Raw genomic sequence first — 12347 nt, 5'->3', positions numbered from 1 at the left:
GGATAGGTGTGCAGTAGGTTATACCATCTAGATTTGTGTAAGTATGTTCTACGATGTTCCCATCAGAAGAAATCACCTAACGACACATTTCTCAGAATGTATCCCCATCATTAAGTGACACTTGATTGCAATTTCTTTTTTTTTTTTTTTTTTTGAGATGGAGTTTCCCTCTTGTTATCTAGGCTGCAGTGCAGTGGCATGATCTTGGCTCACTGCAACCTCCGCCTCCCGGGTTCAAGTGATTCTCCTGCCTCATCCTCCCAAGTAGGTAGGATTACAGGCATGCACCACCACGCCTGACTAATTTTGTATTTTTAGTAGAGATGGGGCTTCTCCATGTTGGTCCAGGCTGGTCTCGAACTCCCGACCTCAGGAGATCCACCCGCCTCGGCCTCCCAAAGTGCTGGGATTACAGGCGTGAGCCACCACGCCTGACCTTGATTGCATTTTCTTAATGCCAAAAGATAATCTTCAATGAACTGCTTGAATTTCCCAGAAAAATGTAAAATCAGTCATCTGCTTCAGACTCTTTACTAGGTAAGTGAAACAGGTGAAGAGTTTCTGAAGAAGGAGCGGAGAGAATGTGAGAGATAAAACCCATGAACAAGTATTTAAAGGGCATTTTGGCAATTAGAAATTCTGGAGCATTATGGGGAATGAGAGAAACTGGGGAAGATAAGAAAAAGAATATATCTGAGCAAATGTGCCTTATCCCAAAAATGCATGGCTGGTTTAACATTCATAAACCAGTCAATGTAAATCACCTGGCCACTTAATACAATAAAGAAGAAAAACAATCACTTCAGTCTTCTAAAACTGTTCTCTGTTTTCTTAACTCAGCAAGACTGCTGTTTTCTACTTTCTGCATTGCAGTTTGAGAATTCTTCCAGGCATAAAGCCAGGACTATTCTAGGGCTCACCTCATTTGTTTTGTTCTTTCAGGGATCAGGTTTCTGTGCTGCTTCTTGTCTAATGTCCAAAACCTTTACGTCCTATGATATATTTTGGCCAGTTTTCTAGTTGTTTACAGTAGAAGGGGAAGACTGATCCAAGATATTCTATCATGACCATACAATTACATTTTGAAAATATCACTCTACCTGCCATGTGGAATAGATTGCAGGAAAGTGAGAGTTATAGGCCAGGGAAATGTATCTAAGGAAGCTATCATGGTAGTCCAAGTGATAGATTATGGTGGCATAGATTTGGATGGTAGTAGTGGAAATGGAAAGAAGCACACAGGCTCAGTGTATGTTTTTGAATTGGAGTTACAGGACTTGATGCATTAGACACAGATTGAGTGCAGGGGAGGGGAGGAAAGAAGAATCAAGGATGATGTCTAGGTAGATGGTGATGCCTTAGCTGTGAAGTGGAAGACATCAGAATAAATGGTTTTGGGGTGGTTTGGAAGAAGAACTGACTAAGTCTTTCCCCTCCTTTCTCTACTTTTTCACTGCTTATTTTCCAATTGCTGCCTCACAACAGTCCAACAAATAATTTAATAGAAATAGATTATTGGGCTGGTGGAAAGGCATGGGGAGTGAGAAACAAGGGGTTGTGGTCTCTCTTTTTTTAACCTGGTCACACAGTATTAAAAAGACAGTTACATTTTATACAAAGAATGGGTTCTTAAAGACCTTTCATATGTAAAAAAAATGATAATAGGTATCATCTTGGATTACATGTCTAAACCCACGAATAAGTGAAGAAAAAGATACATGTTGGTGCTTAGGGGTATAAGAGTGAAAAAACACAAGGATTCCCAGGAGGAACAACAACAAAGGTCAAACCACTTTTACAAGGAGGAAATCATTCTCATTCAGCTTCTTGCTAATTACTTCTTCTTCTATAACCTCTTAGAGTTAGTCTTTATCTGGCCGAGCACGGCAGCTCACACTTGTAATCCCAGCATTCTAGGAGGCCGAGGCGGGAGGATCACCTGCGGTCAGGAGTTTGAGACCAGCCTGGCCAACATGCTGAAACCCCATCTCTACAAAAACACAGGCATAATGGCGCACACCTGTAATCCCAGCTACTTGGGAGGCTGAGGCAGGAGAACTGCTTGAGCTCAGGAGGTGGAGGTTGCAGTGAGCCGAGATTGTGCCATTGCACTCCAGCATGGGCGACAGAGCAAGAGTCCGTCTCAAAAAAAAAAAAAAAGAAAAAAAAAGAATTAGTCTTTATCCTCTAAGTAGATATATGCTAAGGTATACTTTGAGCTTACAGTGACTGAACTTCCTTGGGAACTACAGTCTCAAGCCCTAGAAGGCAGATAGAGTTGGCTTCCTGCTGTCTTTCTGTGGTTTAGAATACCACTTCATTGGCTACAGGGAATTGGCTCGAGAGACTGCACCTGACCTGCACTGAGGCAATCGAATTTCCTCTCACAGGAATTTAGAAATGGGAGGTAAGATAATAAGTTAGTCTCAGTGAAGAAACTAGCATACAACTGTAACATAAGCTTGGGTACTGGGGTACAACAGTAGGGCCTTCTCCATGCAGACTAGAAAAGCAGAGTAGGCAGATGTGCAGAGGAAAAAAATGAAGCAGATACTACGAGAGAAGCAGAGATAAAAAGATAAAGAGATAAAGCAAATTAAAGTCCTAACATCTTTCCAGTTCCTGATTTCATTCTCTTCCTGAGTCCTTGAGTTGTATGAGATATCCCAGTATCTTTCTTTTCCATTTTTGCTCAAGCTAAGTGAAGATGGCTTCAATTACTTGAAAGCTAAGAAGACTCTTGAGTAACAGCTCTGCACCAAGCGGACCTAATAGACATCTACAGAACTCTCCACCCCAAGTCAACAGAATATACACTTTTTTCAGCACCACACCACACCTATTCCAAAATTGACCACATAGTTGGAAGTAAAGCTCTCCTCAGCAAATGTAAAAGAACAGAAATTATAATAAACTGTCTCTCAGTCCACAGTGCAATCAAACTAGAACTCAGGATTAAGAAACTCACTCAAAACCGCTCAACTACATGGAAACTGAACAACCTACTCCTGAATGACTACTGGGTACATAACGAAATGAAGGCAGAAATAAAGACGTTCTTTGAAACTGGCGAGAACAAAGACACAACATACCAGAATCTCTGGGACACATTCAAAGCAGTGTGTAGAGGGAAATTTATAGCACTAAATGCCCACAAGAGAAAGAAGGAAAGATCCAAAATTGACACCCTAACATCACAATTAAAAGAACTAGAAAAGCAAGAGCAAGCACATTCAAAAGCTAGCAGAAGGCAAGAAATAACTAAAATCAGAGCAGAACTGAAGGAAATAGAGACACAAAAAACCCTTCAAAAAATTAATGAATCCAGGAGCTGGTTTTTTGAAAGGATCAACAAAATTGATAGACTGCTAGCAAGACTAATAAAGAAAAAAAGAGAGAAGAATCAAATAGACGCAATAAAAAATGATAAAGGGGATATCACCACCGATCCCACAGAAATACAAACTACCATCAGAGAATACTACAAACACCTCTACGCAAATAAACTAGAAAATCTAGAAGAAATGGATAAATTCCTCGACACATACACTCTCCCAAGACTAAACCAGGAAGAAGTTGAATCTCTGAATAGACCAATAACAGGCTCTGAAACTGTGGCAATAATCAATAGCTTACCAACCAAAAAAACTCCAGGACCAGATGGATTCACAGCCGAATTCTACCAGAGGTACAAGGAGGAACTGGTACCATTCCTTCTGAAACTATTCCAAACAATAGAAAAAGAGGGAATCCTCCCTAACTCATTTTATGAGGCCAGCATCATCCTCATACCAAAGCCAGGCAGAGACACAGCCAAAAAAGAGAATTTTAGACCAATATCCTTGATGAACATTGATGCGAAAATCCTCAATAAAATACTGGCAAACCGAATCCAGCAGCACATCAAAAAGCTTATCCACCATGATCAAGTGGGCTTCATCCCTGGGATGCAAGGCTGGTTCAATATACACAAATCAATAAATGTAATCCAGCATATAAACAGAACCAAAGACAAAAACCACATGATTATCTCAATAGATGCAGAAAAGGCCTTTCACAAAATTCAACAACCCTTCATGCTAAAAACTCTCAATAAATTAGGTATTGATGGGACGTATCTCAAAATAATAAGAGCTATCTATGACAAACCCACAGCCAATATCATACTGAATGGGCAAAAACTGGAAGCATTCCCTTGGAAAACTGGCACAAGACAGGGATGCCCTCTCTCACCACTCCTATTCAACATAGTATTGGAAGTTCTGGCCAGGGCAATTAGGCAGGAGAAGGAAATAAAGGGTATTCAATTAGGAAAAGAGGAAGTCAAATTGTCCCTGTTTGCAGATGACATGATTGTATATCTAGGAAACCCCATTGTCTCAGCCCAAAATCTCCTTAAGCTGATAAGCAACTTCAGCAAAGTCTCAGGATACAAAATCAATGTACAAATATCACAAGCATTCTTATACAACGATAACAGACAAACAGAGAGCCAAATCATGAGTGAACTCCCATTCACAATTGCTTCAAAGAGAATAAAATACCTAGGAATCCAACTTACAAGGGATGTGAAGGACCTCTTCAAGGAGAATTACAAACCACTGCTCAATGAAATAAAAGAGGATACCAAGAAATGGAAGAACATTCCATGCTCATGGGTAGAAAGAATCAATATCGTGAAAATGGCCATACTACCCAAGGTAATTTATAGATTCAATGCCATCCCCATCAAGCTACCAATGACTTTCTTCACATAATTGGAAAAAACTACTTTAAAGTTCATATGGAACCAAAAAAGAGCCCACATCGCCAAGTCAATCCTAAGCCAAAAGAACAAAGCTGGAGGCATCACGCTACCTGACTTCAAACTATACTACAAGGCTACAGTAACCAAAACAGCATGGTACTGGTATCAAAACAGAGATATAGATCAATGGAACAGAACAGAGCCCTCAGAAATAACGCCACATATCTACAACTATCTGATCTTTGACAAACCTGAGAAAAACAAGCAATGGGGAAAGGATTCCCTATTTAATAAATGGTGCTGGGAAAACTGGCTAGCCATATGTAGAAAGCTGAAACTGGATCCCTTCCTTACACCTTATACAAAAATCAATTCAAGATGGATTAAAGACTTAAACGTTAGACCTAAAACCATAAAAACCCTAGAAGAAAACCTAGGCATTACCATTCAGGACATAGGCATGGGCAAGGACTTCATGTCTAAAACACCAAAAGCAATGGCAACAAAAGCCAAAATTGACAAATGGGATCTAATTAAACTAAAGAGCTTCTGCACAGCAAAAGAAAATACCATCAGAGTGAACAGGCAACCTACAAAATGGGAGAAAATTTTCACAACCTACTCATCTGACAAAGGGCTAATATCCAGAATCTACAATGAACTCAAACAAATTTACAAGAAAAAAACAAACAACCCCATCAAAAAGTGGGTGAAGGATATGAACAGACACTTCTCAAAAGAAGACATTTATGCAGCCAAAAGACACATGAGAAAATGCTCATCATCACTGGCCATCAGAGAAATGCAAATCAAAACCACAATGAGATACCATCTCACACCAGTTAGAATGGCAATCATTAAAAAGTCAGGAAACAACAGGTGCTGGAGAGGATGTGGAGAAATAGGAACACTTTAACACTGTTGGTGGGACTGTAAACTAGTTCAACCATTGTAGAAGTCAGTGTGGTGATTCCTCAGGGATCTAGAACTAGAAATACCATTTGACCCAGCTATCCCGTTACTGGGTATATACCCAAAGGACTATAAATCATGCTGTTATAAAGACACATGCACATGTATGTTTATTGCAGCACTATTCACAATAGCAAAGACTTGGAACCAACCCAAATGTCCAACGATGATAGACTGGATTAAGAAAATGTGGCACATATACACCATGGAATACTATGCAGCCATAAAAAATGATGAGTTCATGTTCTTTGTAGGGACATGGATGAAATTGGAAATCATCATTCTCAGTAAACTATCGCAAGGACAAAAAACCAAACACTGCATGTTCTCACTTATAGGTGGGAATTGAACAATGAGAACATACATGGACACAGGAAGGGGAACATCACACTCTGGGGACTGTTGTGGGGTGGGGGGAGGGGGGAGGGATAGCATTAGGAGATATACCTAATGCTAAATGACGAGTTAATGGGTGCAGCACACCAGCATGGCACATGTATACATATGTAACTAACCTGCACATTGTGCACATGTACCCTAAAACTTAAAGTATAATAATAAAATAAAAAAATTAAAAAATTAAAAAATTAAAAAAAACAAAGAAGACTCGAGTAAAATACTGTGGCATCTTTGTACATGTATTTTCTCAGCAATGTGCTACTATTCTTCTCCACAATTCAATCACTAAACATAGGCATTTCTCCTATAGTATATTATGAATTGAGTATAACGTGAATTGAGTACAATGTGACTGATTAGGAATAAGATTCCTAAATTAATTCCTAGCAATAAGATTTGCAATGCATAAAATTCTATTGGTTTGGGTATGGGAAAAAACAACTGCACTGACAACAATGTAACCAGAATATGTGTTAAGGCAGGTAGTAGCATGATGTGAATTATGGGAATAGGGAAAATCTGGGGAATCAGGAATCCTTAGACATTAATATCTTCTGGTTCCTCTGACCTCTTAAACCAGGCCCTTTGCTTGTCCTACTCCTACTTTCCTCACCAGCATCCTCAGCTAAAGTCTACTTCTGATGAAACCACAGTGTAATCTTTCTTACTTGGTTAGAGCCCTGTGGGTTTCTTGGTTGACTCAGCATAACCCCAGCTGTCATCAGCCCCTCTGAGACTAAGTTCAGACATGAAAGTCCCCTAAATCCTGACTATGTCAAACAGAAACTAGGAGAAGCACGAGGAAACTGAAACTCGGAGCCTGTCCCATAGCATATTGCTCCAAGTTTCCTCTGAATGCCCATCCTGGGAGTCAGGCTGCCTAATACTGGTACTAGCAATAAGGTGGTTTCCCCCAGACACAAAGTAAACAGGCGCAAGATCCTTACTTATTTAACACAGAGAGTACATACATCTGATTGCTTTTGCTCTTCTCCATCCTGTGATTTCTCATGGCTATGACACTGACATGAGATATGACTATGTTCTAAACTTCCAGAGTACCTCAGCCAAGCCTCACTATGCTAAGTGGAAGGAATGCTAGCATATAAATGGTTGAAGTTTGGACTCTGGAGTCACTCCTGAGTGTGAATTCTGGCTACTCCCCTTTCCAGTTCTGTGGCATTAAACAGTCCCTTTAACTCAGCAGTCTCGAACCTTTTTGGTACCAGGGACCAGTTTCGTGGAAGACAATTTTTCCATGAACTGGGGGAAGGTGGAGGGAATGGTTTCAGGATGAAACTGTTCCACCTCAGATCATCAAGCATTAGATGATCTCATAAGGATCATCAAGCATTAGATGATCTCATAAGGATCATCTAATTAGATGAATCCTTAGATTCTCACAAGGAGCATGCAACCTAGATCCCTCACCATGTGCAGTTCACAATCAGGTTCACGCTCCTATGAGAATCTAATGCTGCTGCTAATCTGACAGAAGGTAGAACTCAGGTGGTCATTCTCATTCACCTGCTGCTCACCTCGTGCTGTGCTGCCCAGTTCCTAACAGGCCACAGACAGGTACTGGTCTGCAGCCCTGGGGTTGGGGACCCCTGCTTTAACTTGTCTGTTCCTCATTTTTCCCATGTGTAAAATTACAGGTTGGTAACAGTAACCAATGCATAGAATTGTTACGTAAAGAGCTTCTCAGAACAGTGGCTAACACATATTAAGTGCTCAATAAATGTAAGCTATTATTATCATTACTATTACCTGAATCTTCTGGTCTCAGCCTTCAATAATTTAAATAAAACTGCTTAAATTTCCTATAAAAATTAGACATCACAGTGACAATTGTTGACAGTAACAATCAGATTATTCACTTATTCACTAAGCCAAAATCTTCCTACAAGATTGTTGTTGTTGCTACATTGTACTTTCTATTAAAGTTCAACAACATAGAACTAAAAGCTGGAATCAACAGTATCTTAGTTCATTTTGCACTGCTATAACAAAATACCTGAGACCAGCTAATTTATAAAGAACAGAAGTTTATTTTCTCACAGTTCTGGAGGCTGAGAAGTCCAAAATCAAGGTGCTGGCATTTGGTGAGGGCCTTCTTGCTGCATCATCAAATGGTGGAACACAGAAGGGCAAAAGCACAAGAGAGCAAACCCATCTCACAAGCCCTTTTTATAATAGCATTAATCTATTCATGAGGGTGAAATCTTCATGACCTAAACACTTCTCATTAGGCCCCAACTCCCAACATTGTCATACTGAGGATTAAGTTTCCAATACATGAATTCTGGGGGACACATTCAAACCATAGCAAACAGTAACACTTAACATTTACTGACCAATTTACTTTATGTCTGGTTCTAACTGAGCATTTTACATGCATTAATTTAATCCACTGTCCCATCTACCCTTTGAGGTAGAAACTTCTTATTCTCATGGTAGACTTCTACTGATATTTAGGATAAAAAGAAAACAAATTTAAGATGTTAGTTTGTTCTTAAGTAGAATTTTTTTTTCTTTACTTTGGGAAAATAGTTGATTCTTGTCTACTGTTGGAATTTTCTCATTTGATTCATGTTAGATGTTTTCTTTGTTTTACAAAGCTATAAATAAAGTGAACTAAGCAATTAGTAGCTGTTTCAAATACAGTTTAATTTATGTGCTAAAAATTATTGAGAATTTTTAATGATTTCTCACATGCTTACATACTGGATCTTGTAATTCAAGCTTTGAAAAACAAATTGATTTCAAACAAAATTCTTAACCTGTTCAAGACTGTTTGTAAAGAAATTCAAGAATTTTATGAATTTTTATATTTTTCCCTATAAAATTTAACTCTTATCTACACATTATACTGTATGTAATTTTACCAATAACAATACCAATGTAGGTTTCATATAAAACATTCTTTTCACTTTTACGATTACCTGTTAAGAAGGTTCTCTACTTCTTGAACTTCTGATATGGGCTCTTCATTATCAGAAAGGACACGAGTTTGAAATTTTCTATCTTGGAAATCATATAGCATCACAATAATAAGACTGCTCAAATGATCTGGCTAACAAGGGAAAACATATATAAAGAAAAGTATACAAACAATATCTAACCAGCAATATTTTCCATTCCATTCCATTCCATTATTTTTCATAACAGAGCAGGAATACGACTATTTTTACATAGTCTGATTGGATTGGGAAGGTCTTCAAAATAGAAAAAATCCAGAAAAAAAAAACCCTTTCAAAAGAGACAGTTTTTGGTATGTTCACCAAAATGAATGATATTAGAAGTTGAAAGGAATCTATATTTAAGATTTAAGAGGTTTCAATATTCAGCAAACTATTTAAATCTTTTTTTTTTTTTTTTTTTGAGACGGAGTTTCACTCTTGTTGTCTAGGCTGGAGTGCAATGGCGCAATCTAGCTCACTGCAACCTCTGCCTCCTGGGTTTTCAAGCAATTCTCCTGCTTCAGCCTCCCAAGTAGCTGGGATTACAGGCATGTGCCACCACACCCAGCTAATTTTGTATTTTTAGTAGAGCCAGGTTTCTCCATGTTGGTCAGGCTGGTCTCGAACTCCCGACCTCAGATGATCCGCCCGCCTTGGCCTCCCAAAGTGCTGGGATTACAGGTGTGAGCCACTGCGCCCGGCCTCAAACTATTTAAATCTAAAGGCTTTTAAACACTTTCTTTTTTAAAAAAAATCATGAAACGATGTAATTCTAAAACTTATCTACTTACTATTGTGGTACTTGGGAAGATACAGCTGTCTATCAATATAGTTTCCAAAATATCTTGATCTGCAAAACAAGGGAAAGGCCTGTTACTGAAAATACAAAGCGGAAAATGAAAACTCTGGAATCAAAATACACTGTAATAATGCCATAAAATACATTTACTTTCATATCTAAAATATACCTCAATTCTGGATAATGACTTAAATTACAGTGACATGATGAAATATTTATAATCTTTATGAATGCTGGACCTTTATGACCTAGGGTCCGCATGGAATCATAGTTAAAGAAGCATTATCTGAATAGTCAAAGCAGTAATAAAAGGATTCCAATCTTTAATGTATGGCCTTTGAAAAATATTAAAGAGGATCTAATTAATAATGTTGAGCAATAGTTTTCTTATTCTTTTTATGTATTGCTGGATTTGATTTGCTAATTTTTTTGGTTTTGTTTGTTTTTGAGACAGAGTCTTGCTCTGTCATCTAGGCTGGAGTACAATGGTGCGATCTCAGCTCACTGCAACGTCTGCCTCCCAGGTTCAAGCAATTCTGCCTCAGCCTCCAGAGTAGCTAGGACTACAGGTATGCACCACCACACCTGGCTAATTTTTGTATTTTTTGTAGAAATGGGGTTTCACCCTGTTGGCCAGGCTGGTCTCGAATTCCTGACCTTAGGTGATCTGCCCGCCTAGGCCTCCCAAAGTGCTGGGATTACAAGCATGAGCCACCATACCCGGCTGCTAATGTTTTATTTAGAATTTTTGTTGTATGTTCATGTTCATGAGGGATGTTGGTCTATAATTTTCTTTTCTTGTAATATCCTTGTCAGTGTTGGTATCAGAGTTTTGCAGCTGATGAGTGGAAACTGTTCTCTCTTCCTCTATTCTCTCAGAGTTTGTGTTAGATTGGTATTATTTCTTAACTATTTAGTAAAACTCAATAGTGAAGACATTGATGTGATGACATTTAATCTAAGACCCAAATGACAAGGAGTTAGCCATGTGCATATCTAGGAAGGGACAGCATTCCAGGCAGAGGTTATGATAACTGCAAAGGCGGTTACGTAGAAACAAGTGGACATATTTAAAAACTTCCACAGGGAACACGAGTGTTCTTTTTGGTACGACTACTTAAACTATATATACATCATATAACAAATGCTTTATTTTATTTATTTATTTATTTATGAGACAGAGTCTCGCTCTATCACACCGGCCGGAGTGCAGTGGCACAATCTCGGTTCACTGCAACCTCCACCTCCCGGGTTCAAATGATTCTCCTGTCTCAGCCTACCAAGCAGCTGGGATTACAGGTGTGCATCACAGCATCACAACTAATTTTTGTATTTTTAGTAGAGACAGGGTTTCACCATGTTGACCAGGCTGGTCTCGAACTCCTGACCTCAGGTGATCTGCCCACCTCGGCCTCCCAAAGTGCTGGGATTAGAGGCGTGAGCCACCGTGCCCGGCGTATAACAAATGCTTTAATCAGTTGAACAGAAAGGTAGGCATGCCTAGCTTCAATTTATTCAATATTTATGGAAAGCCTACTATAACCAAGGTATAAATTGAATTTATACCTTGAATTTGAATTCATGAATTTTCTTTTTTTTTGAGACAGAGTCTTCCTCTGTCACCCAGGCTGGAGGGCAATGGTGCTGTCACAGCTTACTGCAACCTCCACCTCCTGGGCTCAAGCAACCCTCCTGCCTCAGTCTCCCAAGTTGCTGGGACTACAGGTGTGTGGCACCACACCTGGCTAATTTTTGTATTTTTTATTTTTTTATTGTTTTTATTTTTATTTTTTGTTTTTTAAAATATTATCTTTGTATTTTTTGTAGAGATGGGTTTTTGCCACGTTGGCTAAGTTGGTCTCAAACTCCTGGCCTCAAGTGATCTGCCCACTTTGGCTTCCCAAGTGTTGGGGTTACAGGCGTGAGACACCATGCCTGGCCTAAATTTCATTTGGGAGATAGGAAAACTAAAAAGAAGTGACTAATTTGGGAGCACAGACTCCAGTTTTCCCATAGAAATCCTCTGGGACTCGTTATCCACATTCTAGCCACAATTACGTACTTGTACTTCACAAGGTAATTATGCTTATAAGGAAATGAAGTTTACAGTTTCACATCCTTAGTACTTTCAAACCAATTCCCATCTACTTCATACTTTTTGTACTTTTTTTTCACAACAAGTACAGTATTAGAAAGAAGGACTTCTAACTTGGCAGACCTCTTTGAGCAGTGGAGATGCTGGACTCCTAAGAAATAGAAAAAGCTGGCCGGGTGTGGTGACTCATGCCTGTAATCCTAGCACTTTGGGAGGCCAAGACAGGTGGATCACCTGAGGTCAGGAGTTCAAGGCCAGCCTGGCTAACATGGTGAAACCCAGTTTCTACTAAAAATACAAAAAATTATCCAGGCGTGGTGGCGCACCTCTAATCCCACCTACTTGGGAAGCTGAGGCAAGAGAATCTCTTGA

At 39.2% G+C, this 12347-nt stretch overlaps 1 protein-coding gene across 10 annotated transcripts in view, besides 2 other annotated features; it reads right to left on the bottom strand.

The window, feature by feature from the left end:
- NSUN7 (NOP2/Sun RNA methyltransferase family member 7) overlaps positions 1 to 12347 on the bottom strand; it is a 61230-nt gene that overhangs the window by 40820 nt on the left and 8063 nt on the right. For 8 of the 10 annotated variants that reach the window (XR_007057964.1, NM_024677.6, NM_001330648.3 and 5 more), the window contains exons 3-4: positions 9873 to 9931; positions 9064 to 9194 (exon numbers count right to left, since the gene is read on the bottom strand). Coding sequence is in view for 7 of the 10 variants with exons in the window: in NM_024677.6 (NP_078953.4) it covers positions 9064 to 9194; positions 9873 to 9931 (190 nt within the window). In the remaining 3 variants the exon portion in view is untranslated. Of the gene's footprint in view, positions 1 to 9063; positions 9195 to 9872; positions 9932 to 12347 lie in introns of those variants that run through there. The other 2 variants (XM_047416172.1, XM_047416174.1) reach the window with 2 other exon arrangements.
- Positions 6658 to 6787: an enhancer, noted in NCBI's record as "active region_21499". NCBI's record gives its function as "activates an Ori minimal core promoter by ATAC-STARR-seq in GM12878 lymphoblastoid cells {active_cell/tissue: GM12878}" and the evidence as "EXISTENCE:reporter gene assay evidence [ECO:0000049][PMID:35858748]".
- Positions 6958 to 7007: an enhancer, noted in NCBI's record as "active region_21498". NCBI's record gives its function as "activates an Ori minimal core promoter by ATAC-STARR-seq in GM12878 lymphoblastoid cells {active_cell/tissue: GM12878}" and the evidence as "EXISTENCE:reporter gene assay evidence [ECO:0000049][PMID:35858748]".

The sequence above is a fragment of the Homo sapiens genome, chromosome 4 (genome assembly GCF_000001405.40).
Source record: "Homo sapiens chromosome 4, GRCh38.p14 Primary Assembly".
Taxonomy (NCBI): Eukaryota; Metazoa; Chordata; class Mammalia; order Primates; family Hominidae; genus Homo; species Homo sapiens.
This window is presented reverse-complemented; position numbering and strand designations above follow the sequence as displayed.